At 41.5% G+C, this 27,642-nt stretch overlaps 1 protein-coding gene and 1 long non-coding RNA gene across 2 annotated transcripts, besides 1 other annotated feature; one reads left to right on the top strand and one right to left on the bottom strand.

Annotated features, from left to right (window-relative positions):
- SLC28A2-AS1 (SLC28A2 antisense RNA 1) lies at positions 1-27,642 on the top strand. The gene is made up of 5 exons (NR_120335.1): positions 1-26; positions 23,225-23,271; positions 23,856-23,893; positions 25,289-25,357; positions 27,151-27,642. It is a non-coding gene; the product is annotated as an SLC28A2 antisense RNA 1 (long non-coding RNA).
- Positions 104-273: an enhancer, noted in NCBI's record as "active region_9354". NCBI's record gives its function as "activates an Ori minimal core promoter by ATAC-STARR-seq in GM12878 lymphoblastoid cells {active_cell/tissue: GM12878}" and the evidence as "EXISTENCE:reporter gene assay evidence [ECO:0000049][PMID:35858748]".
- Positions 1,377-26,989, bottom strand: SLC28A2 (solute carrier family 28 member 2). Its single transcript, NM_004212.4, has 18 exons — positions 26,945-26,989; positions 25,927-26,023; positions 25,703-25,791; positions 17,117-17,208; positions 15,979-16,162; positions 15,201-15,342; positions 14,455-14,568; positions 14,057-14,134; positions 13,560-13,640; positions 13,062-13,142; positions 11,643-11,768; positions 11,427-11,557; positions 10,845-11,013; positions 9,688-9,885; positions 8,947-9,028; positions 6,830-6,928; positions 6,439-6,550; positions 1,377-3,827 (listed from the first exon to the last, which is right to left on the bottom strand). Exons 2-18 carry the CDS (start codon positions 26,005-26,007, stop codon positions 3,710-3,712), a joined length of 1,977 nt encoding a protein of 658 aa, NP_004203.2. The 5' UTR covers positions 26,008-26,023; positions 26,945-26,989; the 3' UTR covers positions 1,377-3,709.

Genomic DNA, 27,642 nt, shown 5'->3' with positions numbered 1-27,642 from the left:
GCCCCGTCGCGTTTATCGAGGAGACAGTGAGTTCCTGTTTTTCCTGTTCCCTCCTGCATTTGACAGTGTTCTGCAGACACTGGTGTTGAGATTGGCATGCTTCCCGCATTTACAGCGAAGCCCTCTAAGAGGGAGAGTTTAGGCCAGGTTTACTTTAAGTAGGAACCTGAGAATTTAAAAACCGAATTAAAAAGTTGGCCCCCGCCCTGGAGGGAGATAGAGTCCCCTTCTCTCATGCTTCCTTGTGTGAACTGAATTTCATACATTACTCAACAAATCGATAGCCATGAACTCAGGTTCCTAAATGATAGTAATGGTATTATTACTACTATAATCTATAATACTATTAACTATGGTATTATAGTAAGTATAGTAATGCTATTAGTAACAGCTAATAGTAATAGCTAACCTTACATTAGACTTGGAGCGAGCAGTCACTGTTTTGTTCCCTGCTGTGATTTGAATGCCTCCTCGGAAACTCATGTTGAAACCTGTTCCCCAGTGTGGCAATATTGAGAATGGGGTCTTGAAGAGGTGATTGGGTCATGAGGGCTCTGCCGTCCGGAATGGACCAATCCATTCATGAGTTAATGGGTTATCACGGAGAGGGACTGGTGGCTTTATAAGAGGAGACCTGAGCTAGCACACTGAGCCCCCTCACCATGCGATGCCTTACACTGCCCCTGCACTCCGCAGAGTCCCCACTGGCAAGAAGCTCTCACCGGGTGTGGCCTCTTGACCTTGGACTTCTCAGCCTCCTAAGACATAAACTCCTTTTCTTTATAAATTACCCAGTTTCACGTATTCCGTTATGAGCAACAGAAAACAGATAATCCCCTTACAGCAGTGTCACTGTCTTTACCTATAAGGTGGGTCTCACTATCTTTATTTTATAGATGAGGATGCCAAGGCACAGAGAAGTTAAGGAACTTGTCCAAAATCACCTTAGTGATAACTGGCAGAGCTTGAATCAGAATTCAAGTAATCTGGCGTCATGTCCAATACCAGTAACCATTGCATTCTGCTGCCTCTCAGAAATAAACCAGGCATAGAGTAAAATTCATCTGTAGTTCAAGAAACAATTTATTGAAGCTTCCTTTTTCTGTCAAGTTTGGAAAACGGGAGAGAAGATAGGAATCGAGACTGAGAAGACGACCAAGTGGTTCTGAGCTGAGAGAATTGGGAAATTGAAGGAGGTAGATTAGCTAAGGGAAGATACAAGTACCTGAATCCTTCTTTTTTTTTTTTTTTTTTTTTTTTTTGAGACGGAGTCTCGCTCTGTCGCCCAGGCTGGAGTGCAGTGGCGGGATCTCGGCTCACTGCAAGCTCCGCCTCCCGGGTTCACGCCATTCTCCTGCCTCAGCCAAGTACCTGAATCCTTCTAAAAATTTTTTTTATTGAGGTGAAATTCACATAACATAAACAGCCATTTTAAAGTGAACAATTCAGTGACATAATATTCACAATGTTGCACAACCACCACCTCTATCTCGTTCCAAAACATTCCCATCACCCCAAAGGAAAACCCCAAACTCGTTAAGGAGTCACTCTCTAATCCCTCCTTCCCCAGGCCCTGGCAACCACCATCTCCCTTCTGTCTCTATGGATTTATATATTCTGAATATTTCATCTAAATGGAATCATGCAATAATAAGACTTTTGTGTCTAGCTTCTTTCGTTTAGCATGTTTTCGGGGTGCCTCTACATAGCATAAATCAGTACTTCTTTTTTTAATGGGTGAATAAAATTCCATTGTGTGTATGTAACACAATTTATCCATTGATGGACATTTAGACTGTTTCCAATTTTTGGCTATTTTGAATAGTGCTACTGTGAACATGCATGTACATGTACTTGTTTGAGAACTTAGTTTTGATTCTTTTGAATGTGTATGTAGGAGTGGAATTGTGGGGCTCTATGGTAATTCTGTGTTTAACTTTTTGAGGAACTCCTGTATCCTTTTGAAACCCTTCCTTAAGGCTATAATATTAATATAATAAATAATATTAAATATAATAAATATCTAAAATATTTTGAATCAGAGTTTCTGAGTCTCAGCACAATTGACGTTTGGGACCAGGTAATTCTTCGTTGTGGGAGAGCTGACCTTTGGTTATAGGAATTTTAGTAGCAATATTGGCCTCTACTCACTAGATGTCAGTAGCATCCTCCCACTTTAATCACCAATAATGTCTGGAGACACACTGTCAGATGTCCTCTGAAAAGCAAAATTGGCCCCTTCCCACTGAAAATTACTGTTTTAAAGGCTTCCCCATAAACTTGGAGCAAATGTGGCTAGCACTAAAGCAGAATACTACAACAAAGTAATGGCCTTTAAGAAATGGATATTCCTTAGAAGTCTTCCTTAGTATACAGGAAGTATTTTTTGTTTACTGTGTAATGTTGTTAAGAAGTTTGCAGATTTACAAATGTTTGACAACCAGAAAAATCTTATCATTAAATATTCATATACCTTTCAAAGGTAACATCAGTAATATAAATCCAGCTCATCCACAATGCCAATAAATGTAGCTTCTCCCCCGTCCCAGGCAAATTACATACTAAATCACATTTATAGCACACTGCATCACATAATTTTTAAGATGGCAACTAGAAGCATGATTTGTAAGACTTTTTTGACATAGTAATACTTATTTTTTCTTTTATTTATTTATTTTATTTATTTTATTTTTTGGTGGGTGCTTCACTTTATTTTATGAAGTTTTTTCTTTTATTATTATTATTATACTTTAAGTTTTAGGGTACATGTGCACAATATGCAGGTTAGTTACATATGTATACATGTGCCATGCTAGTGTGCTGCACCCATTAACTCGTCATTTAGCATTAGGTATATCTCCTAATGCTATCCCTCCCCCTTCCCCTCACCCCACAACAGTCCCCAGAGTGTGATGTTCCCCTTCCTGTGTCCATGTGTTCTCATTGTTCAATTCCCATCTATGAGTGAGAACATGTGGTGTTTGGTTTTTTGTCCTTGCGATAGTTTACTGAGAATGATGATTTCCAATTTCATCCATGTCCCTGCAAAGGACATGAGCTCATCATTTTTTATGGCTGCATAGTATTCCATGGTGTATATGTGCCACATTTTCTTAATCCAGTCTATCATTGTTGGACAGTAATACTTATTTTTTCAAATGAAAGTTCAGGCAGGGCCCATGAGGAATGCCATTTTTTGGTTCAGCCAAATAATGGAAAAACAAAAGCTATTTTTCGTTATTGGGATACAGCGAACCAAAATGAATCTTTTTTTTTTTTTTTTTTTTTGAGACAGAGTCTCGCTCTGTCACCCAGGCTGGAGTGCAGTGGCGCGATCTTGGCTCGCTGCAAGCTCCGCCTCCCGGATTCACGCCATTCTCCTGCCTCAGCCTCGCGAGTAGCTGGGACTACAGTCGCCCGACACCACTCCCGGCTAATTTTTTGTATTTTTAGTAGAGACGGGGTTTCACTGTGTTAGCCAGGATGGTCTCGATCTCCTGACCTTGTGATCCGCCCGCCTCGGCCTCCCAAAGTGCTGGGATTACAGGCATGAGCCACTGAGCCCGGCCCAAAATGAATCTTTTACATTTACTGTTACTTACTGTTAAACATCTTGGTGAGTGAGTTGTGGGCACCCTGAGTACATAAACACCTTTGCAATCACAAAGCTTTTAAGATCAAAACTGTTATAGAAATAGATCAAGCAGCCTTAGGCACAGACGGTATTGTTGTAGAATCCACAGCAGTTAGTAAGGGCCATAGCACTGAACTCCTTATCTTCCCAGGGACCAGAAAAAGAAGGAGGGTTGGTGCCATTCAGAGAAGTACTGCAGTGAAAAACCAGAGAGGTACATAAGGGGTCAGACAGGAACAAAGCAACAAAACATATCAATAAGTTATACTAAGCAGCTGAAAACAAAAACAAAAACCTGTAAATTGACCCATCAGCCATGACCAAATAGAACCCAATTATGTTTCTTTTCTCATTCATTCCCAAGATAATACTAGCAAGAAACCATAAACCATGTGTGTCTGTTCCTTTGCGCAACTCCTAACCATAGTCCATTTGGAAATTTCCAGATATCCCTGAGGCAAATGTATGGCTTATAATGATTTAGTATTGAATTGATTCTGAAAAGTAAGGTGGTATTCCAAGGCCACCTTCCTCTTGAAAACAGCTTACACTTAATTAGTATAAATTAATTGGACAAAAACGTTGTCTTTCAATGATCTTCAGTATGTGGCTTTAGAAAATCCACCAAAATGCCACAAGAACATAAGAATCAGGCAACATGATGAACGCCCATGTCTACAAAAAGTAAAAATTAACCAGGCATGGTGACACATGCCTGGCCTGTGGTCCCAGCTACTCAGGAGGCTGAGGTAAGAGGATTGCTTGAGCCTGGGCCAAGATTGTGCCACTGCACCCCAGCCGGGGCAACAGAGTGAGCCTGTGTCTCAAAAAAAAAAAAAAAGAAGAATCAAAACGATGCCAGAGCAATGATGAATCCAGCTCATACCTCATCTTTAATAGTGCATCAAAAGAATTTTTAAAAAAATATGTTAGTTGCCTTCTCTGATGATAACCTCCAAACACAGGAGGGGCAACATTCATTCACTTGGCCCAGTAACCTTTTAAGCAGCCAGCACCTGAATATCTAGCTATGTAGTGAACAGACCACTTAATAACTTCCAAATCTTTATTTGTTTGTTTGTTTGTTTGCACCCTGTCACCCAGACTGGACTGCAGTGATACGGATCACGGCTCACTACAGTCTCTAATTCCTGGGCTGAAGTGATCCTGCCACCTCAGCCTCCCCAGGTAGCTGGGACTACAGGCACACACCACCATGCCTGGCTAGTTTTGTTTTGTTTTGTTTTGTTTTAGTAGAGATGGGGTTTCGCCATGTTGCCCAGGCTGGTCTTGAACTCCTGAGCTTAAGTGATCCTCCTGCCTTGGCCTCCCAAAGTGCTGGGATTATAGGTGTGAGCCACTGTGTCTAGCCCATAACTTTTAAATCTATCTCCAGCTCTGATTTCTCTCTTGAAGCCCGACCTGAGGTGGCTTTTGAGTACCTTCACAGGGTGGTCCTGCAACTACCTCCAAGTTAACACATCAAAAACTGAATTAAGGCTGGGCATGATGGCTCAGGCCTATAATCCCAGCATTTTGGGAAGCCAAGATGGGAGGATCCCTTGAGTCCAGGAGTTCAAGACAAGCCTGAGCAACATAGTGAGACCCCATCTCAATACAATAAATCAATAAATATAAAAAACAAAAACTGAATTAAGCCATAATCTCTCCCTTTTACTCCCATTCCTGAAACTAGTCCTCCTCTTCTGTGAATGAATGGCACTCCTTAGACCCACTTGCTTATGCCGGAAAAGAGATAGTCACTTGAGACTCCTTCCTCTTCTTCACCCCACCTCTTCCTCCTATCTAGCCAATGATCAATCCTATTGATTCTACTGGATCTAGTGTATCTCCAACCTCACAACCACTTAGTATCAATTCTTACCATCTCTCACTAGGACTATTACAGCAGGGTGTTTGTTGGTCTCCTTGCCATTCAAATGGCTACCAAAATGATATTTTGAAACAGCATAGTTGATCATGCCAGTGTTCAGAATTCAGCAGGTCAAAACCTAAATTCTTTAGTATTTCATACAAGGCTTCTTATGATCTCTCAGCCTTTTTTCCCACAACTCCCTTCACTCACGCATATATCACCACCAATACACACACACCTTTTGATTTGAAGGCACCAAACATTCTAGTTCCTCAAATCTTTCCTTTTGTGTGTTCCAAAACTAGTTCTTTTAGCTTAATGACATATCCTCTTCTTTTCATATTCTAGATTTTGGTAAACAAGTTCATTTTTACACTACCTGAACTCATCATGATTTTATAAATTCAACTTTATCCTCTCTCAGTTTTCTTCATTTCTGTCTGAAGAAGCCTATAATATTTTAGCCACTTATAACCATTGCTAAGTCTACGTATAACCTACCTGTATTCCAATCACAATAAGTAATTTCTTTTTTTTAATTAATATAAAATAGAGACAGGGTCTCGCTATGTTGCCCAGGCTTGTCTCGAACTCCTGGGCTCAAACCATCCTCCCACTTTGGCCTCCCAAAGTGTGGGATTGTGGGTGTGAGCCACCGTGCCCAGCCAGTAGAGTAATTTCTTATCAGGGAAACCATTTTTCTTCTTCCTTTGCTGCTCTACTTCTCAGTAGCCCACTAACACAGGTAGACCCTGTCGCTGGAGCATACTAAGCTAATAATGAAGATGCACCCAATAAGAGAAAAGAACACTGATCTAGGCCATTACCAATACTCACAGCCCTTATACACTCTATGCAACCTCAACAGCATTACCGTGGAGACCTGAGGGCCGTGTGTGAGAGAAAGGAATGGGGTCCTGGTGCTCACCTCTGAAAGAGCCCTCTGCAGCACATGTAGGTCTCATAGGTTCTATTGGTGAAACTTGTGTTTGGGAAGGAGACACAGTCAGCTTCAGCTCCCCTGGGGACATAGAGGATTCCTGGATAAAGGAGACAGAGGTACTAAGGGGAAGATCTGACACGTGCTTCTCAAGGCTCTTTATTCTTTTGGCACGAATTGTGGACACTCTTGATTAGGTGCCTTTGCCATGTATCTGTGGAATGCATGGGTAAATCAATATTCTGAAAGACAGCCTGTCATGATCTAGGGAAGTAATCTTTGTTGCCCCTGTACTCAAGGACAATTCTACCTTCCTCATATTATTCCTCCAACCATCACCCTCATGCAGCAGTATCTCCATCAGAGCTGAGGCACCTACCTGCCATACAGGCACTGATAAGGGATACACAGGCCCCTGTGAAGAGGGCCCTGACCACAACCTTGGACAAGTCACTCTTCCGGTGAGGTACTATTGATGCTGCAGACAATAAAATAAAATAACTTCAGCTTTTCCCCACCAAGGCAATCAGGTATATCCCATGGGCCCCCACTTAGAAGAACGCAGAGAAACAAAACACAGCCGATGAAGAGCATCCTTATTACCATCCACCTGAGACTGGCCAGTGTTGCCCTAAGAAGTGTGTGTATACATTAGTCCTGAGGGATCACTAACTTAGACTTTCCTCAGATCAAGTATTGAGTGTCTGACCCTCACTTTAATGGTTCTGTGAACATACCCAAGATGTATCTGGATAAAGCAAGGCTCTGGGTTTCTCCAGACAGGTACAAATGCCTGGCGTTCACTGCTTGAGATACGCACTCTTAAGCCTGGACCAGAATTAGATGGACTATTTTGAGACAGAGGGCTAAGGAAAGCAACACTCATTGTGTGGCCTAAGACTTAGCCACACAATGCATATCCCACTACTAGATGGCAGTCTCATAATCGGACAGTAATCAGGCATCAAGACTAGAACAATACAGTCAGGTGTTTGACAGAAGGGGAAAAGGTAAACTGAAAGGGAATTATTTCACCTTTCAATTAAATTGGCTACCAAGTACATGAATTAAATGACTCTACCCCAGAATATAATTGCCTTTAAAAAGGGACACACTGAGCTATATTTCTTATTATAATCTACTCCTTCTAAGATTCCTTCCTTCCTTCCTTCCTTCCTTCCTTCCTTCCTTCCTTTTCTTCTTTTTTTCTTTCTACAGGACCTCCCCATGTCACCCATGCCGGAGTGCAGTGGTGCAATCACAGCTTACTGGAGGCTCGATCTGAGTTCAAGCAATCCTCCCACCTCAGCCTCCCGAGTAGATAGGACTACAGGCATATGTGCAAATATGCCCAGCTAACTTTCAAATTCTTCGTAGAGACAGAATCTCACCATGTTGCCCCAGGCTGCTCTCAAACTCCTATAGCAAGCAATCTTCCTGCCTTGGCCCAAAGTGTTGGGATTACAGGCATGAGCCACCACATCCAGCCTAAGATCCATTTCTAACTTGGATCTTCCAAACTTGGGATCTGCTAGTCACCCCTGTGCCCCTGCACTCAAGGACAATTCCACTTTCCTCATATTATTCCTCCAACAATCACCCCCATGCAGCAGTATCTCCAACAGTCTAAATATATCTGTGTCTGCTTCAAAGACCCACTCCTTTAACATTTGGTACTTGCATATTTAAATCCAACACTTTACACCACTCTCTCTTACTGTCTATCTGCCTTATGTGCCTGCTGCTTTTATTTGTTTTAATTCTTTGTGTTTCCATGAGGATGACTAGTGAGCAGCCTAATTTCAAAAAGTGTCTTCACTACTGAATAAAATACAAGACCAGGTGTGGTGGCTCACGCCTGTTATCCCAACATTTTGGGAGGCCAAGGCAGCAGATCACTTGAGGCCAGGAATTCAAGACCAGCTTGGCCAACATGGTGAAACCCCGTCTCTTCTAAAAATACAAAAAAAATAATAATAATAATAATGGGCATAGTGGCACACACTTGTAATCCCAGCTCGGGAGGCTGAGGCATGAGAATCACTTAAACCCAGGAGGTGGAGGTTTAAGTGAGCTGAGATCACACCACTGCACTCCAGCCTGCGCAACAGAGTGAGACTCTGTTTCAAAAAAAATTAAATAAATAAATAAATAAATATCTTTATTTATATATGCACTATTCCAATTTAATGGCAAAATTGAAATAATATCATTATATTTTCTTCCTCATAGAGAAAATTAAAATAAAATTAGTTTTTGGGGCCTCCAATCCAAAGGAAAAAGAAGTAACTGAAGTTGAGATTATAAAGGGCTGTATGCATTAGCCAGGTGGGCATGACTGCCTTAGGTCCAAGTTAACTGCAGCCTAAGAAATGGGCCCATTTCACAATGGCTTCTCTATCTGATCCCAGCTTGTACTGAAGCACCAGGACTGCCCACTACAGAAGCTGGGATCTGGCTGTCTTACTGGGGAGCTGGGAAAATGGATGAACTCACTCAAGCCTCCAAGTGTGATTCCTATGGAACTAAGATTGGCAAATCCACAGAGTGAAAATGTTGTAATGATTTCAGCTCTCACCTAGGGAAAACAAAAATAAATAAGCAAATAAATTCAGTCCCATGCGTGCGGTCTTATAATCACAATAGAAGTTCCAGAGTACTGACAGCCCCCAGTCTTTTCCATGGTTTCCCAAGGAACATGAAAGGATGCTCAGAAAACAACTGTTCCCTGAGTTACTATAGGGATAATGACATGGAAACCACCATGGGCCTCATTGCCCAACGCTGTTCCTGTTGAAGGCTATGAATAACGAGAAGGCCTGGGAATGAGAAGGATTGCGAAGGAGGAGGAGAGAGGCAAAGGGAAAGAAAAAGAATATTAATTTGGAGCAATTTAAACTTATAAGTGAAGAAGGGGACCTTAGACCATCAAAAGATAGTGTCTGCCCTGGACTGCCCCAGCTGTAAAGACCCAGCAATTACATTATAGAGAGAAGTTGGGTCACAGTTGGGGCAGTGGTGGGGGTGGCAGGGGGAAAATAGCATGCAGACCCATAATAGCTCAGGCGCTGCAGATGAGGCTGCTAGGTAGGCTGTTCTGCTGGCTTTGTAGTTAGGCCTGCGACCCCAGAAAGGCATCTGCAGGTCTGCAACAAACCTGTTTGGCACTTTCTGTCTACCCTCAGATAACCATGGCTGAGACCTCACGGTGTTTATGCTTTTTGGATTGTCACTTACAGAAATCCACTGTTTCTCTCCCTCAATCCACTCCTCCATTCCAGAGAGACGTTTGTTCTTGTATTGAGACAGTTGCTGATAAGCCACAAACTCATTTATGAAGAACTTGATTCCCACCATCTCAGCCACCATTGGACAGTCTGTCCACTCTACACCCATCATGAAAACCATGGGCCTTAGGAGATAGGAGCAGATGACCTGAGTGAAAGAGAGATATCACAGGAAAAGGAAGGACTAATATAACAAAGGTCAGGTGCCAAGGACCTTCTCTGGAGCCTTGGCCCAATCTCTTCCACCCTTCTATTCATGCTCTCTCTTGGCTTACTGTGGGTCAGAAGGACATGCATGGTTGTTTTTTTTTTATTATTATTATACTTTAAGTCTTAGGGTACATGTGCACAATGTGCAGGTTAGTTACATATGTATACATGTGGCATGCTGGTGTGCTGCACCCATCAACTCGTCATTTAGCATTAGGTATATCTCCTAATGCCATCCCTCCCCCCTCCCCCCACCCCACAACAGTCCCCAGAGTGTGATGTTCCCTTTCCTGTGTCCATGTGTTCCCATTGTTCAATTCCCACCTATGAGTGAGAACATGTGGTGTTTGGTTTTTTGTCCTTGCAATAGTTTACTGAGAATGATGATTTCCAATTTCATCCATGTCCCTACAAAGGACGTGAACTCATCATTTTTTATGGCTGCATAGTATTCCATGGTGTATATATGCCACATTTTCTTAATCCAGTCTATCATTGTTGGACATTTGGATTGGTTCCAAGTCTTTGCTAATGTGAATAGTGCCGCAATAAACATACGTGTGCATGTGTCTTTATAGCAGCATGATTTATAGTCCTTTGGGTATATACCCAGTAATGGGATGGCTGGGTCAAATGGTATTTCTAGTTCTAGATCCCTGAGGAGTCACCACACTGACTTCCACAATAGTTGAACTAGTTTACAGTCCTACCAACAGTGTAAAAGTGTTCCTATTTCTCCACATCCTCTCCAGCACCTGTTGTTTCCTGACTTTTTAATGATTGCCATTCTAACTGGTGTGAGATGGTATCTCATTGTGGTTTTGATTTGGACATGCATGTTTGAAGGGCTACCTAACCACATCCCAGAGGGACAGCCCAACAAATGTAATCCTTTACCTGGAAAGTGAGCCCCTGTATGTCCACCAATTCCCCCAGCCAGGAGAGGGCAGCATTGATGAAGGCCAACACAGCCAAAAAGGCAATCAGGTTGGCTGCTACATTAGTAGCAAGGCCTATGGCATCTACGGCTCCGTTGCTGGCAGCTTCCAGGACATTCCTCTCCTTCCTGTGGTTATTGGGCAGAGGGCAAGAGTAGGGTGTCTACAGCAGTCTCAGCCCCTCAGAGAAGAGAAATCCCACTGTCCCTATCGTGCAGGAGGAGGGTGCAAGGCCAATGTAGAAGGTGACAGGGGTTCCTCAGTGACCCTATTAGTGGAAATTACTCTGAAGCAATATCAGATATAATTGTCATGTAATTGCATGGATGGCAAGGACAGAGGGTACTGGCATGCAGAAGCTAGTGCCAGGTGGGAGGGTTAAATGAAGAAAACCAGCATGATTAGCAAGCACCAGAGATAGGCAAGAAGGAATATGGAATCACATTATTCCCCCTCAGGGAGACTTGAAGTCTCTGCCACCACAGTGCCACTCTTAACTACAGCTCACCATCTCCCAAAGTATATGCCTCCTTGGACTCACCCACGGGGCAGCTTTACCCCCTCCTCACTCTTGAACTTGGACTCCTCCACTTCCGGATACGCTAGCTTTGATGAGGCGAGAGCACAAGGGGCGGCCATCACAGAGGCAGAAATCAGGGATGATGCATCAACCTGTGAGGCGCCAGACTTAGGCATCAGTGTTTCTATCAAACCCAACTCGAGTTCACCCAGGAGTGATCAAGCAGACTATGCCTACCCCAAAGGCTATGAAGGCTCCCAGCACAGTGCCAGAAATGGTGGCAAACCCTCCAGTCATCACCGCATGGATTTCAGAGAGTGTCATGTCCCCAAGGTAGGGACGGATGAGCAGAGGTGCCTCTGTCTACAAACACGGAGAAAACAGTCAGATTCCAAGAAGGTGTAACTCCCCATGCCAGTGTGCCCACCCCAGCCCCAGGGGCTGGACCCACTAGATACACATCCATCCAGTGTGAGCACTGTTAAGTGAGCCACAGCTTCACTTAGTGAGCACGGAGCCCGGCTGTCAGGCCCATCCAGCTTCTGCCTTACTTCCTCTGGCACCCAATCATGTCCTGGCTGGCATAGTTCTCACCTGTTTCTATACATGCTTGTTTCATCTATTGACATGTTAAAATGTTATAGAAGAGAAATGGTATATTTTGTTTGTATATTCTCAATGTCTAAAGCCACACACTTACTGAACTTACGGAATGCAGTGCACTTAATGAGAACATATTAGATGCTTAAACAGTACTCATTAAATGAAATACAAATAGATGATCCAAACCCCCTGCTTATGGATCAAAAGAAATAATGTTTGTGAAAATGTTATGAAATTATGAAGGGCCATCTATGTAAGCCATATCCAGCACTGACCTAAGATAATGGTATCTATTATTTAACAAGTACCAACTATGTGCCTAGCACTGCACTAGATGCTAAGGACATTGATATAGGTAAGGCAAAGTCCTTACTCTTAGAAGCTTATAGTCTCACATAGGAAACTAGGCTGATTATGGATAATTTCAGCAAAATGTGGAGTGCTATGGTAAAGTATCCAGAAGTACTCTGAGAACATTTCAGAAGCAGCCTAGAGCCTTGGGAGAGAAAGACCTCAGTACTAACTCCCTGCGAATGTGACAAGTCATTGTCCCCAACATTGAGCTGATCAGTCAGTAGCACATATGGAGCACCTACTCCATACAGACGAATGTACCAAGCAAGTATTATGGGGAAGAGCCTGGGCGTTAGCGATGAGCAAGATAAGTGATTTCCTCCTTAGAGACCCTGGAAACCAAGTACTGCAGGGAGTCACAGGGAGAAACCAGAATGAGGATCAAACACCCTTCATAGCCTCCGAAAGGGGATATGAATTGGACGAGGACATTCCCTACATTCCTACGTAGGAAGTGTTCATTAGAAGTGGTGAAGGCTATCCCTCCAGATTAAGTATTACCAGGGAAGTATTATTAGGCGCAAAGGGTGAACGCAATGAGCAGAGTCTTCTTTGAGCTGCTGAGTTATCTCTCATCCAAGATTGGCTGCCCCACAGTCTTCATTTATTTGACTTTTCAGAAGGAAAGCATACTCTTGTTTTGTGCCAAATTCTCAGTTCCTCAGAGGGAAGAAGACCAAAAGTCCTCAAGGTGCTTACCATACCCACAAAGATGTTTCCTGCCACAGCCAGGGTCTCTGTAGCAGTGGTGCCCATAGTGATTTGTAAAAACCAGGCGACCTAGAAGAATACAGAAACCTAAACCATTAATGTTAGCAGGAATCTTGGAGAACATCTCGCAAAACTCCTCCTCCTCCACTTTACTGATAAGGAAACTGAGGCCTAGAGAAGTAGAGCAGCAAGCCTAGGGCCAAAAACCAACTTAGAAACAGAGCCTTGACCAGAACTCAGGACTCGTTGCCTTTAGAACAAGTACATTAAAACTCAGTATCAAAGGCAGTCCAGCTCATCTTCTCTCTGCTCTGCCCTCAGCCTACCTAGGGCCTCGGCTGACAGTTTGCTATCAGGCATGCTTGAGAGGGCCTGCCTTTTCCCATTGTTTCTAACACTCTAGACCTTAGCTATGGGCATTTTTCCAAAGCTGACTGATGACAGGATGAAGGCCTGTCTCCTGACTGGTGTAAGAGAACGACTCACCTTCTGAACTACCCATTGCACAAGGCCCAGGTAGTAGAGAATGGACACCACACATCCAAAGAAAATGATGATTGGTAAGGCCTGTAATGAGAATGGTAGCAGGTGGTGAGATGTTACATTGCATACTCTGTGTTTTAGGCTTCTAAGTTAAGCTCTTAGCATTCCAAGGGTATCTCATACAGTGTAGGTATTCAGTACCTACACAAACTAGTTTAGGGATACATTTAAAATGTATTAAACCCATTGTCCCACCAGTACTAAACCACAAGCTGTTTTCTGACCCTTTTCCCCCAATTCTCATTTCATCTAATTTTATGATGGCAATGACCACAGGGAAGAAGATAGATGCCATTTCCTTTACTGATGGGGTTAAACCCTCTTGTTAGGGTCAAATTGGTATACAGGGGCGCTGATCTCTTGGACACACACTTTCATCCTCTGCTTTATTCCTCTACCCCTCCATAGACCATCATTCCTGCCCATAAAATAGGTATCACCTGAAAAGCAAAGACATCCTTGACCAGTGTATCCCCAAAGACAAAACTGGAGCCGGCCACAGTGTAGTTCAGGAAAATCTGAAGGGAAAAAAAGAAAAAGACAGAGAATAAGAATGAAACCCAAAAGGACACACAGGAAGACGAGACCAGCCCCATGCGTCCTGAGGACCTACTGTTGCTACTGAGGTTGGCCTCCCTTTGACAGCCCAGGGGCAGGCTATGTCCCCATGAGCTCTTTATTCATATTCTTAGCTGTATCCTAGTACACTCTCTCCTTTCCCAACCAGATCTTCCACCACATCATTAACAAGATACAGCCTAATCTTCTCATGCTCCTCTCAAATCTCCTTTCTCTAGGGTTCTAAAAGAGAAAAGCCCTCGCATTTAATTTCTCATACCTGGACCTGCTCTCCCAGCCACTGAAATACAGTATATCCAAGATCAGTTCTGATGACCAAGATCCCAAAGACAAATTGAAGACCTAGGCCCGAAAACACTGTCCTCCAGGACACCTAGGATCAATAAGAATATTATTTCAATGTGAGTTCTGCTAGTCCATTACCTGGTTGGAGTTTTAAACATGTACTCTGGGTGGAACCAACCTAGAATATTAACAGTAAGTCTAGGGTCTGATGGCATAGGGAGCAGGGGCAATGGTAGGGAGAAACAGGGCAGTAATATACAAAAAGCCACATATGTTCATAAGGTTTTTAAAAAATGTGTCTAGAGGTTAGATGACACTTATACACACATATATGCATGCATACATACAAATAAAAGTTTTATAAATCAATATTTTAACAGTACTATCTGCACTGCGTGTTGATTTTCTACTGTATTCTATTTTTCTCTCCTTCCTTATTTTTTTTCTTTTGTTCTTTCTTTAACACTGGCCTAGATTCGCAAAATTGGTATCAAGATTCATTAATGGATCACAATCTACAGTTTGAAAATAAGTGGTCTAGGGCCTTTGAGAATTTTTTAAACTTATCTTAGAAACAAAATTATCAAAGAGGCAAATTCTAGGGGTTGTTATGAACTAGTTCTATGCCCTTGTAATTAACACTTGATGCATACGCTTTATGATTAGCACTTGGCCCTTGGCCATGTGTTGCTATACCCAACCCAAATACCCAAAACTCACTGCGCTGTGGTGTTTGGAGCAGGCAAAGAGGATAAGGATGAACATGCAGATTCCTGCAAAGGGGATCAGCTGCTCTGGCCTTTGGGCTGTGTCTAAAGCCAACCACAGTATAAGGCCAACCAAGGAGACTCCTGCAAACACCCTGAAGAAGGAATGCCAAGACCATGTCATCAACCCAGTGAATGAAAAACAAATAACTTACAGAGAGTCTGAAAGTTATTCTCTCACTCCTGGCCTGTGATCAAAGGCCATGCATGTGCCATTGTTAGAGCTGTGGCTGCTGTAGACGCCAGTTCAGAATATACACGACTGTAAGTTTTCTCTTTAAACTCTAAGGAATTTTAAAAGGCACCAGTGGGTGCAGGAAGTCTAGGAGACTAGAGAGAAAAAAAGCATAAAAAGTATCAGGGAACTAAGGGAGACACCAATGACCACCAAATCAATTTGATAGCTTAATGTAGCTGCAAGGCTCTGTTCTGATTACTTCACTGAAGAGGAGTATGATTTTTCTCATTTCTGACACTGGCTCTGATGACAATCAGACTAAAACTCTTCTCTGAAACTAAACTCCTCCTGCCCCCCAGCAATGTTGAGACCCAAGGCTACAAGAATCTGGACTGAGGTCCTGTGCTCAGAGGCCTATTGTTATTTTTCTCTGCGCTTTGGTTCTGAAAAGCCTATGTGCAGGTCTGAGAGCCTGCTCAGCAACTATCAAAAGAGAAAAAAGGAGGTGGGCTGGGATAAGCTGTGAGGCCAGGTATTGAGATTCTTATCTTACCATTTCGTCCAAAGCCTCAGGCGGGAGTTTTCAAAGGGCTTCAGACATCTTGTTAATTTTTTGCCCAGGAGCTTTTTCAAAAACGAGTGAACCAGGACAAAGATCACCAAGCAGGTGATGACAAACAAGGCCAGTGCCCTCTGGAAATTCAAGATGCAAGCTGCCAGGAGATAGGCAGCATAGGCTAAAAAGAGAAGAAGCAGAGTAAAGATCAGCAAGGCAGTGCTTCCAATGGGCAAATGAAACTCCAGTCATGAATGCCTGGGACTTAGAGCAAGAAAAACCCTCCAGAGACCTTGCCACCCAGCCCTACTGTCAGACAGAACTGCACTTCTTGAGGCCAGGATAGATGTCTAACTGTCCTCTTCTTGAGGATCCCCAAGGACAGTCTGACTTAATGCAAAGACTGCATATTTTCACTGGTCCCTAATGAAATCTCATTCCCTTCTATTTTATCTAATATCCTCTCTCTGTCCCTTGGAGTAGATTTGATCAGTGTTCACCATTAGACTCTTCAAAAGTCAGTCATCTCCCCTTGAAACTTTATTACCCCAGTCACTTTAACCTTGCCTCTGGAACAAACCATGTAAACAAAGCTACCACTGGGAAGTGCAGCCATGTGGACCTCATCCCATGGCTCTCTTACTCATCCCAAAATATAATTTTTGCTCCCACCATCCCAGGTGCCTCCTATTTTGACATTAAAGCCCCATATACCACTGACAGTATGTTTTAAACAGAGATCTGCTGTCTTTTAAGAATATTTTATATCCAATGATATAGTAGTAAACCAGCAAATAAGTAAGGTATAATACAGGCTTCTGTCATCAAGGCTGTAAGAATCATGCACTCCACCAAATCAAGCCACTAAAAAAAGGATAAGCCCCCATTCTCTGAAATATTTTAAATCCATCAAATAGTACACTTTTGAAAAATAGTTTATTCTCAGATTTCACTTGTTCCTACAAGTGCAATTCAATACATTATGGTGCACCTACAAGTAGTTAAGATTGATACATCAAATAGCTTTTTAGATCAGTTTTGAATAAAAATGCCTTCCACCTGGTAATCACCTTGACACAAGGCAAATTTCTAAAATAACTGTGTTTCTCACTTTCATGAATTCTCAATATCTCACCCAAACACAACAGGCCCAACAGGATCTTCTTGAACAAGCTGGCGTGTGTTTTGCAGAAACTTCTTGCTTTGCTGAAAGGCCACCGACTCCTCCTAATAAGAACCCAAAAGTTAAGATACAAGAATTACTCCATCCCATTTCTATTAATTCAACTCTCAGAATTCAGATTACCTAACACAAGGCAGAATTAGCTCTTAGTCAATGAAGAATATTCTTCAGCCAGGAGGAAGTTAGGTAGTGTCCTGCAATGCCAAAAAGGGCAAATCAAACCTTGCTGGTGGGCAGCAGGTCAGAATACCCTACTCAGCCCGAACTAGCAATATCCTTGGTAGTCTCCTACCATAGAAGTGGGTACTGCTCATGTCAGGGGTCTACTACTTTCCTTTCCCATTCTGAAAGGACAGAGGATTGCTAAGCTTCCATATTCACAAGAGGGCCTGTTCTTCTTAGAGGCAATTTGGCCATCCCTCCCTAAAAACCAAACAAACCTATGGCCTTGAACAGTCAGCCAAATGTGCATTGACAGACAGGAAGGAAAATGCTACCAACCTCAAGAATTGCTCTGGATGTGCAGGCCTGAGAGAAGAGGCCCAGCAAGTAGGGATATTCAAGTTTGATTTAACAAACATGTATATAGTGCTTTCTCTATGCTGAGCTCTTTCTAAGAACTTAGCAAATACTAACTCATTGACTCCTCTTAAGACCCCTGGAGCTGTTACTATTAGCATTCCCATTTTACAGTATGGAAACTGAAAAACAGAAGTTAAATAACTTTCCCAAAGTCATACAGGCTGTAAGGAGCGAACACAGAATATACACTCTGGCTTCAGCATCTGAGCTCTTAACCATCATTCTATGCCACATCTTCCCTAGATTCCAGGGTTGCCTGTCTTTTCCACTCCTAAGTATGCTCAGCATGCTGCAGCCATCTGAGCCAAAAGCTCTAATTTCCAAAATCTTGGGAGCTCCAGAGAAGGTGATCCCAGCAAGAAGGTCCCAGTCTGGCAGTCATGCTGAGGCAGGGCAGCTTAGCCAGGGTTAGGACCAGCCATTAACTCCTAATGCCCTGGGGCTTTGGCCCATGGAGTTCCATGGCTGCCCCTCCCATCTAACACACTCCCAGTTCCTAGTCTTCCTTTTCATTCCTGCCCCCATCCCCTCCTGTCCCTTCTGCAGGAAGCCCAACCCTGTGTTAGCTGAGCAGAGTGTGTACTATGAGATACAGGTAAGCTGAGAAAGGAGGAAACAATGCTTATCACCATCTGACTGGATCAACTCAAGATGATTCTTTAGGATCTCAAGAACTCTGCTTTGCTTTGCTTTGCTTTTCTTCTCTTTAAGAGACAAGGTCTCACTTTGTTGCCCAGGCTAGAGTGCAGTGGTATGGCATGATCATGGCTCACTGCAACCTTGAACTCCCAGGCTCAAGTGACCCTCCTGCCTCAGCCTTCTGAGTAGCTAGGACTACAGGTGTGCACCACCACGCCCAGCTAATTTTCTTTTTTAAATTTTTGTAGAGATGAGGTCTTGCTATGTTCCCCAGGCTGGTCTCAAACTCCTGGGCTCAAGTGATCCTTCCTCATTTTTCCATGCTTAATAGAGAAAGTAGTGAGTAAAAGGGCCAGCATACCTGAGGACATCATTATCTTTGGAACATCATTTGCAAAGTATATCAAGGAATGAATTTAATTTCAATCCTGGCCTTCCCATGTGTGCCAGATATCTTTGGTGTGCTCCTCCAGCACCACTCTCCACTCCACTCTGTGCCCTGGGAATTTAACTCATGTAAACTACATCAATGTACTCCCATGTCCTCTGGCTTATCAGGTTGGGTTCTGCTACTGGGACCTCCACAGATGATCAGAGTGTATGAAAAGACAGGTCAGTGTGTTGAGGAGGTCTTTTTATCTGACTCTCCTGCCAGGTGCTCTTACATCTTATTCCTTCAGGCCTACGAATAGTAACTGTTCACTGCTTCAAGACTTTTGCTTCTTGCATTATCCTTTCTTATGGTGTCACCATACCTCATACATATCTTTGTAATGGTCTCTTTGTAAATAAATTCTCCTATAATTATCTTAATTTAAGTATGCCATCTGTTTCCTGTTGGGACCTAAACCGATGTACTAGATAAAGCTAGTTTAAAATTATATGCAGTCAAATGCCAGTTGAGTAAGCCTCCTGCAAAGTAAGAGGCAGGCTGGACTAGTCCAAGAGTAGATACAAATTGCATGCCTAGAAAAGATTTCTTCCATCACCTCCTGACCACAACTCACTTACCATATAGCACTTACCATATAGCATGATATTGTCATTTTTCTGTTTACCTGTCTTTATTAGGTTTTGAGCATATCAGGGAAAGGAGCATTTCTGTTTTTATCTTTGTATTCTTGGTGCCTAAATTAGTACCTAGCACATACTATTATTGCTTTAGGTCGCTAACAAGTGCCCGGCCCATAATAGATGTTCAATAAGTGTTTGCTGAATAAAAGAATAGGTAGATAGATAAACTCATAAAAATGATTTGCCTATATACTTGTGACAGATAGCTAGAAAGTATGAAAGTATCATTTACAGTGGTAGCAACATCATTCAGGGTATTAATTTTGTACTTCTTTTTAAAATTGACAAAAATTGGCTGGGTGCAGTGGCTCACACCTGTAATCCTAGCACTTTGGGAGGCCAAGGAGGGAGGATCACTTGAGCCCAATAGTTCAAGATTAGCATGGGCAATATTGTGAGACCCCATCTCTAAAAAAAATTTAAAATAAAATTGACAAAAATTGTATATGTTTATGGTATACAACATGATGGCTTAAAATATATATAAATTGTGGAATGGCTACATCAAGCTAATTAACACATGTATTACCTTACATACTAGTTTTTTTAATGGCAAGTGCTTAAAATGTACTCTTGTTTGTATTTCATCATTTATAAAATGTACTACTATTTTTATACACTAAGAAAGAAAAACACTGCCAATTAAAGACCTGAACAGGCACTTCACAAAAGAGAATATTCAGTGGCCAGAAAAAGCCGAAAAGATGCACAAGTTCCTTAGCCATTAGGGAAATACAAACCAAAGCTACAATGTGATAATACTACACACATACAATGGAGACAATGAAAAAAGACATGCTCTCATAACACTGCCAGGGGAGTGAAATTTGCTAAAAATATGTTTAGCATCTGTTAAAGCTACATAAACCTACACATACCCTATAGCATGGCAATTCCACTCCAAAGTATATACCCAGTAGAAAGGTGTATTTATCTTTACTAAAAGACATGCACAAAAATGTTCATAGCTGCACTATGATAGCAAAAGCATAGAAACTACTAAAATTCAGACCCACAGTAAAATGAGCAGATAAACTGTGGTAGATTCTTACAATGAAATACTATACAGCAATTAAAAATGTACAAAGTACAATATATGCAATAATATGGAAGAATCTCCAAAGCACAATGTAAAGCAAAAGAAGCAAAAGTATATATATGGTATATTTTCATTTAAAGTATAAATTAGACTTCCCATATAAAGTCCAAACACAGGCAAAATTAATCTATGATGCTAAAAGTCAGGATAATGATTACCCTTAGGGAGGCTGACTGAAAGGAAACATAAAATGGTTCTTGGGTACAGATAATGTTTTGGTTCTTCATCTGGTCGATGGTCATATGGTTGTATTCACTTTGTGAAAATTCATTAAGGCTTATGTTTATTTTTCTGTATGCATGCTATGCTTTATTAAACATTACACTAAAAAGGCAAAAAAAACTGTACCAGTTAAACTATGGCATGCAGTCCCAAAAACATAAATTAAGAATAATAATAATAAAATAAAATTTGACAAAAAAAATATATAGTATATATATTTTTGAGACGGAGTCTCACTGTTGCCCAGGCTGGAGTGCAATGACATGATCTTGGCTCATTGCAACCTCCGCCTCCCAGGTTCAAGAAATTCTCCTGCCTCAGCCTCCCGAGTAGCTAGGAGAACAGGTGCCCACCACCATGCCCACATATTTTTGTATTTTTAGTAGAGACTAGGTTTCACCATGTTGGCCAGGCTGGTCTCAAACTTCTGACCTCAAGTGATCTGCCTGCCTTGGCCTCCCAAAATGCTGGGATTACAGGCATGAGCCACCATGCCCAGCCCCAAGGAATATTTTTTAAAGGAAAAACTAATGCAAATACATGAGCCATCAAGTTTTAATGTACATTGTAAACAATGATATCGTGTTAAGTACTCAGAACTGTGTCAGTGAAACAAAAGATTTAAAAATAAATCCAAATCATCACATTAACTTAATAAAGTCGAAGCAACATCAGAATAGAGAAAGAACTCACAATTTAATAACTTGCTAGAAAAGTGGGTATCAGTATGGAAAAGCATCAGCTTAAAGCTACATGTCAGATTACTCCCTACAAAGCACCCCAGATCATCAGAGTTAATCAAACAAAAGAACAAGAAGAAAAAGAAATAAATACTTAAAAATCAATACAGAAACAAAACAGAATTGAAAAATGTACACATGAAGAAATTACAAAGTCTGTTATCTAGATTATATACATAACTTATTAACATGTATTTATTGAATTTTGAATGTTATGGCATTTTAAGTATAAACTATGGGTAAAGCATTGTTTCCAGTGTTATAGGAGACAAAAGGATGAAATAGACATTGATCTTGCCCTCAATGTATTTACAGTCCAGTATAGGGGATATAATATACATGTAAGTCTATAACAAAATGTCAAAAGCTTAAAGTGTTATAAGAGAGGGTCAGATAGAATGTTATGGAAGTTTGGAGAAAGAAGGGACCTTTTAGTACTGGGGCCAGTGAGGTTGAGGGGAGGAGAGGCAGCATCAGGGAAAGTTTCATGGACATGATTGCTCTTGAGTTGAGCCTTAAAATATGTGTTGTATTTGGGCACAAAGACAAAAAATGAAGACAGTACACTCATAAGCAATGATGTAATGACATGCATGACATGGAGGCAGGAAACTGGGGATTACATATAAGGAACAGTTGATAGTTGACTTTCACTAGAGCATAGGGTGGCATTAGAAAGGGAATTGCAAGAGTTAATGTTGGAAAGTCAAGTTGGATACAGATCCTGGTTGTGGGGAAGAGGTTTTGGGGAGAATTGAATACCAGGCTGTGGAGTTTGGCTTTGTTCAGGAGCAACTGGAGAGCTACAGAGGTTTGTGATATAAGGGAGTTCAGACATACTTTAGGTAGTTTTGGTAGAAGCTATATAGGATAGATTGGCAGGAGGTGGGGAGAACTGGAAACAAGAAATCTATGTGGGTTCTATTAGAGTTGGTCAGGAGAAAGGAAATGAGGTTCAAAATCCAGAACTTACTTTAGTTGATAAAGAAAAGTAGGCCGGCCACAGTGGTTCACGCCTATAATCCCAGCACTTTGGGAGGCTGAGGTGGGCAGATCACCTGAGGTCAGGAGTTCAAGACCAGCCTGGCCAAGATGGTGAAACACCATCTCTACTAAAAATACAAAAAAAAAATTAGCTGGGTGTGGTAGCACGTGTAATCCCAGCTACTCGGGAGGCTGAGACAGGAGAATCGCTTGAACCCGGGAGGTGGAGGTTGCAGTGATCACACCACTGCACTCCAGCCTGGATGACAGAGTGAGACTCCGTTTCCAAAAAAAAAGAAAAGAAAATCACACGTAGAAATATGGAAAGTAAGGCAAATGGAGGAAAATGTGTAGCTTTACAAAAATTTAAAGAAATGCAAGTTAAGGTCAGGCACATGGCTCACACCTGTAATCTCAGCACTTTGGGAGGCTGAGACATGAGGATTGTTTGGGCCCAGCAATTCAAGACCAGCCTGGGTAATGAAGTAAGACCTCATTTCTCAAAAAATAAAAATAAATGCAAGTTAGAACTTTAAGGCATGATTTTATATCTATGTAACTAGTTAACATGGTTTATATGAGAAAATATAAGGTCGATAAGACTTGAAGGGAACTGGACATGTTATATATCAGAGCAGTTTAAGGTGCCAACAACAGTCTGGCAAAAAAAAATTACCAAGATCCTTTCAGCTAAGTACTAATATTATTCTTGTTTTACAGGGTGAAAACTGAGGTTTAGAGAGGGTAAATAACTTGCCCAAAATCTGGTAAGTGCTAGAGTCAGTGGTGCAGGGGAAGCTGGCCTGCGCTGGCTTGAGAGAAGTGATTGTTACATTTTCAGGAATTGTGCAAGCCATTACTAAAAATTAAAACTATATAAACGTATAATTAAATTACATTAAAGACAAAGGTAATAAATACTAAAAACTCATCATTTTCTAATTATTTTGCTACATTTTTCTGTCATGTGAGCTCATGAAGTTATTCATGTCTGCTGTATGTGTATGGTGGAAATTTTATATAATGATACATCTCTTCCCAACTCCTTGTTCAAGTAACCCTTTGGTTACTTGAAATCAGCCATGTTGAGAGTTTTTACGTTACAGGCGAATACTGTAAATAAGGTCTTAATTTATTATTTCATCTAGACTAAAGATTAGCAAGCTGTGGTCTGTGGGCCAAGTTCATCTCACCTTCTTTTTAAAAATTAAGTTTTATCAAAACACAGCCATGCTCATTTGTTTAGTATCACCTGTGGCTGCTTTCCTACGAAAATGGTAGAGTTTAATAATTGCAACAGAGACCACATCAACCACAAAACCAATAATATTTACTACCTTATCTTTTACAGGAAAAGTTTGCCAACCCCTGGTCTTACTCCTCATTAAGGTGAGCAAAAATATTAACCAACATTCATTGCAAAACTACATGTGGACAGCCGGTTCTTTCTTCTTTTTTTTTTTTCAAGACGGTCTCACTCTGTCCCCTAGGCTGGAGTACAGTGGCACGATCATGGCTCACTGCAGCCTTAACCTCCTGGGCTCAAGTGATCCTCCCACCTCGGCCTCCTGGAATAGCTGGGACTACAGGCACGCACCACCATGCCCTGCTAATTTTTAAAAATTTTTGTAGAGGCAGGTCTCACTATGTTGCTCAGGCTGGTCTTGAATTCCTGGGCTCAAGTGATCCTCTCACCTCAGCCTCACGAAGTGCTGGGATTACAGGCATGAGCCACTAGCCCGGTGGAGAGTCAATTCTTAAACATTTACTAGCATACCACTGTTCAAATATAGACACAAGCAATGTGACTCACATGATTAACGGCCACACTGCTAAGTAAAATATGAAATATCATGTAAGCATGAAAAACTTACAAAGAATTTACTGTCAATTCAGTATATATAAAACATGATAATATAAAAATTTTTAGAGAGAAGCAAATTGTGAATAAAACAATTAAAAATTTTAAGAAGTCACTGAGGTAACTTTCAAAAATAAAGAGAAGAAAATATAAAAATAACCTTTTGTTTGGAAGCTGCTCTGAATCATCTCCATATATAGTCATGTGTTACTTAACAACAGGGATACATTCTGATAAATTCAACATTAGTCAATTTCATAATTATGCTAACATCTTACAGTGTACTTATGCAAACCTAGATGGTATAGCTTACGACACATCCAAGCTATATGGTGGATCCTATTATTCTTAGGCTGCAAATCTGTTCAGCATGTTTCTGTACTTAATACTGTAGGCAACTATAGCACAATGGTAAGTATTTGTGTATCTAAACATATCTAAACATAGAAAAGGCACAGTAAAAATACAGTATTATAATTTTATGGGACCACCGTTGTGTAATGATATACACCGTTGATATACATGATTATACACCATTGTATAATGCGGTCCATCATTGACTGAAACATCATTATGTAGCTCATGACCGTATTCCCTTTAGAAGCTATCCAATGTCCTCTTCTCAGCTTTTAGTGTATGACTTCTGCACTCTTTTATAAATACCCACTGTTTTCCAGACCATGGAACATTGCTTCTTTCCATATGATCTATTTTACTCAAACAATTTTCTTTGACATTACTTCTGGGACCAGATCCACAAACAAATTCAAAGATTTTTCTCACTCCTCCTTCCTAGACCCCTGTTCACATAGCACTGTGGACTGTACCTTCTTCATTCTTGAGACTCTTCTCTTTTGACTTCTAAGATCTTTTTTACTGTCTTTATTATCCTTATAATAAGTCCTTCTGTGTTTTCTCCCCAGGTTTCCCTTCCTCTCCACCATTCCCAAATCTGAGTATTCCAGAAGAGCTACTGTTTTTTTAATGATATGGTAAATTAATTTCTAAAGGGATTAAAATGAATACCTACCTGTTGTAATGAAAATAAATGTATAACATAAAGCAATCTGCAAAATAGTAAGTATACACTCAAAATCTGTTAGCCATTATTACCATTGTTATTATTTTTATTTTCAGTCCAACCAACACTGATACTGCTGAACTCCTTTTTTTTTATGGAGTTTATGGCACATGTTTAAGTTAATTAATTATGTAAGATACATATATATATGTACACATGGTAAGGTGGAGCGGTTGTGATAATACCACAAGCTGCCTGAAGGGGCAGCCCACCCTAGATCCTTTCCTAACTGAACAAGATTCCAAAACACCAGTACCTCTGGTAAGTGGAAGGGCCCAGTCCATCCCCCAGGCTGTGTCCTTGTGCGTCAGTCCTCTTGCTTCCCTCAGGCTCTACTTCTTTTTCCTACAAGCACAGAGAGCATTGGGATCAGTCATGGAGCCCTGCCAGGGATGATGGGGATTGAGAGCAGCCAAATACCCTACAGGAGCCCATGCAGCAGCCCACAGCTCTGCAGAGAGAAACTAAACTGGTGATTACCATGAGCTCCAGCCCCGGGTTCACTGTGCCAGTCTCCACTGTGGACAGAGCAATGGACTGTCTTCCACTTGCTTTCTCCATCTCCTGTTCTCCTCAACTGAAAAACAAATTCAGGGCCAAGCCTGAAAGATTGGTCATTCTGTTCTGTGGGGATGGGGAGAATTTTTAGGACCAGTTACCCATGGAAAACGCAAAACTAAAAGTCTTTGAAGGCTTAGTTGATTTCTTTAAGAACTGAGAATTGAGAAGATTGGATGTGTAATTTTTATATAATAAATAATGAAAAATAAAATCCTATTTCCTCTTGTGAATAGCTAAAGAAGAGGCAGTAAGATAGGAGAAGAGAAATGAAAGGCAGTGGAATTGAAATGAATCAGTGGGCCGCCCAGGGCCCCAGGATCTGGGCTATAAAGGTTCCTACTTGGACCCTCAAAGAAAGAGTCACAGGGTAACTACTCCTTTTAGCCCCAGGGAGGCCCCACTGAGCTTGCTGAGTAAGAAGGAAACAGGGAGGAAGGCAGTTGGGAAGACCCGGACCCTAAAGTATTGCTGAACAGATAACAATTTACAGGCCTTCAAATTCCTGACTATAATGTAGCATAAGAATTGGTTTTTTATGCCCCAGAGAGAACTCATCAGTGAAATTAACAAAACTTACATTTAAAATAATTAGTATGAATGTTAATGATCCCAAGTAAAGTTTTTAAACAAAATAAGCAAACATTTGGGCCTCAGAATAAGCAAATTTAATACATGGACATTCACAATTAGAATATAAGTTCATTCTGAGATATTTATTTACTTTGCAGAAAATTCCCTTCCCCATGGAATTGCTTTTGAAAATGTGATCTCTTCAAGCATTTGAAGTATAATTTCATTAAACACACATAACCAACTTATATTGTGTAAATTAGGGCCTTCCTGACTAGGCACAAAACTACCTGCATTTAGTTTAAATATGATCTCTTTAAAAATTTGTAAATTAGGCACCTGCCCTCCCCCAAACACCTTTACTTACCCCAGCTTGTGGAATTGATTCCCTCTGGCTCCTCAGTGAAGGACTGAAAGAAAAGCTCAGCTGCGAGGGAGGAGGGGCAGCTTGGGTGGGGCATGGGGGCTTTCCTGCCATTGGTTAGTTTTATGTCTTGGGCCCTCCTTCGCTGAGCCTGCCCTCAATGTAGAGGAGGACTGCACCTCTCAAGTTAAATATTATATGTTTTTAAGACTGTTTTGCAGGCCTAAGACTTATGCAGAGGTGGCGCCCGCCCGTAATCCCAGCACTTCGGGAGGCCGAGACGGGCGGATCGCTTGAGACCAGCCAGGATAACATGGCGAAACCACATCTCTACAACAAATACAAAAATTAGCTGGGCGCGGTGGCACACGACTGTGGTTCCAGTTACTCGGCAGGCGGAGGTGGAAGGATCCCTTGAGCCTCTGGAGGTGGAGGTTGCAGTGAGCTGTGATTGCGCCACTGCACTCCAGCCTGGGCGACAGAGTGAGACCCTGTCAGAAAACAAAACAAAACAAAAGAATTCTGTAAGAACTTCTAACAGGTACATTCCTGTAAGCATTACCCACCACTGGACTAGGCACTGGGTAGCCTGTAAAATACAGTAAGAGCCGTCTCTGCACCCAGAAAATTTACCATCATTTTGTGCTGGAAAGACATGCCCTAGAAAACAATAAACAGCACGACTGTACATGATTCCATGC

The sequence above is a fragment of the Homo sapiens genome, chromosome 15 (assembly GCF_000001405.40).
Source record: "Homo sapiens chromosome 15, GRCh38.p14 Primary Assembly".
NCBI classification, from domain to species: Eukaryota; Metazoa; Chordata; class Mammalia; order Primates; family Hominidae; genus Homo; species Homo sapiens.
Note: the sequence above shows the minus strand (reverse complement) of the source record. Positions and strands in the feature narration are given on the sequence as shown.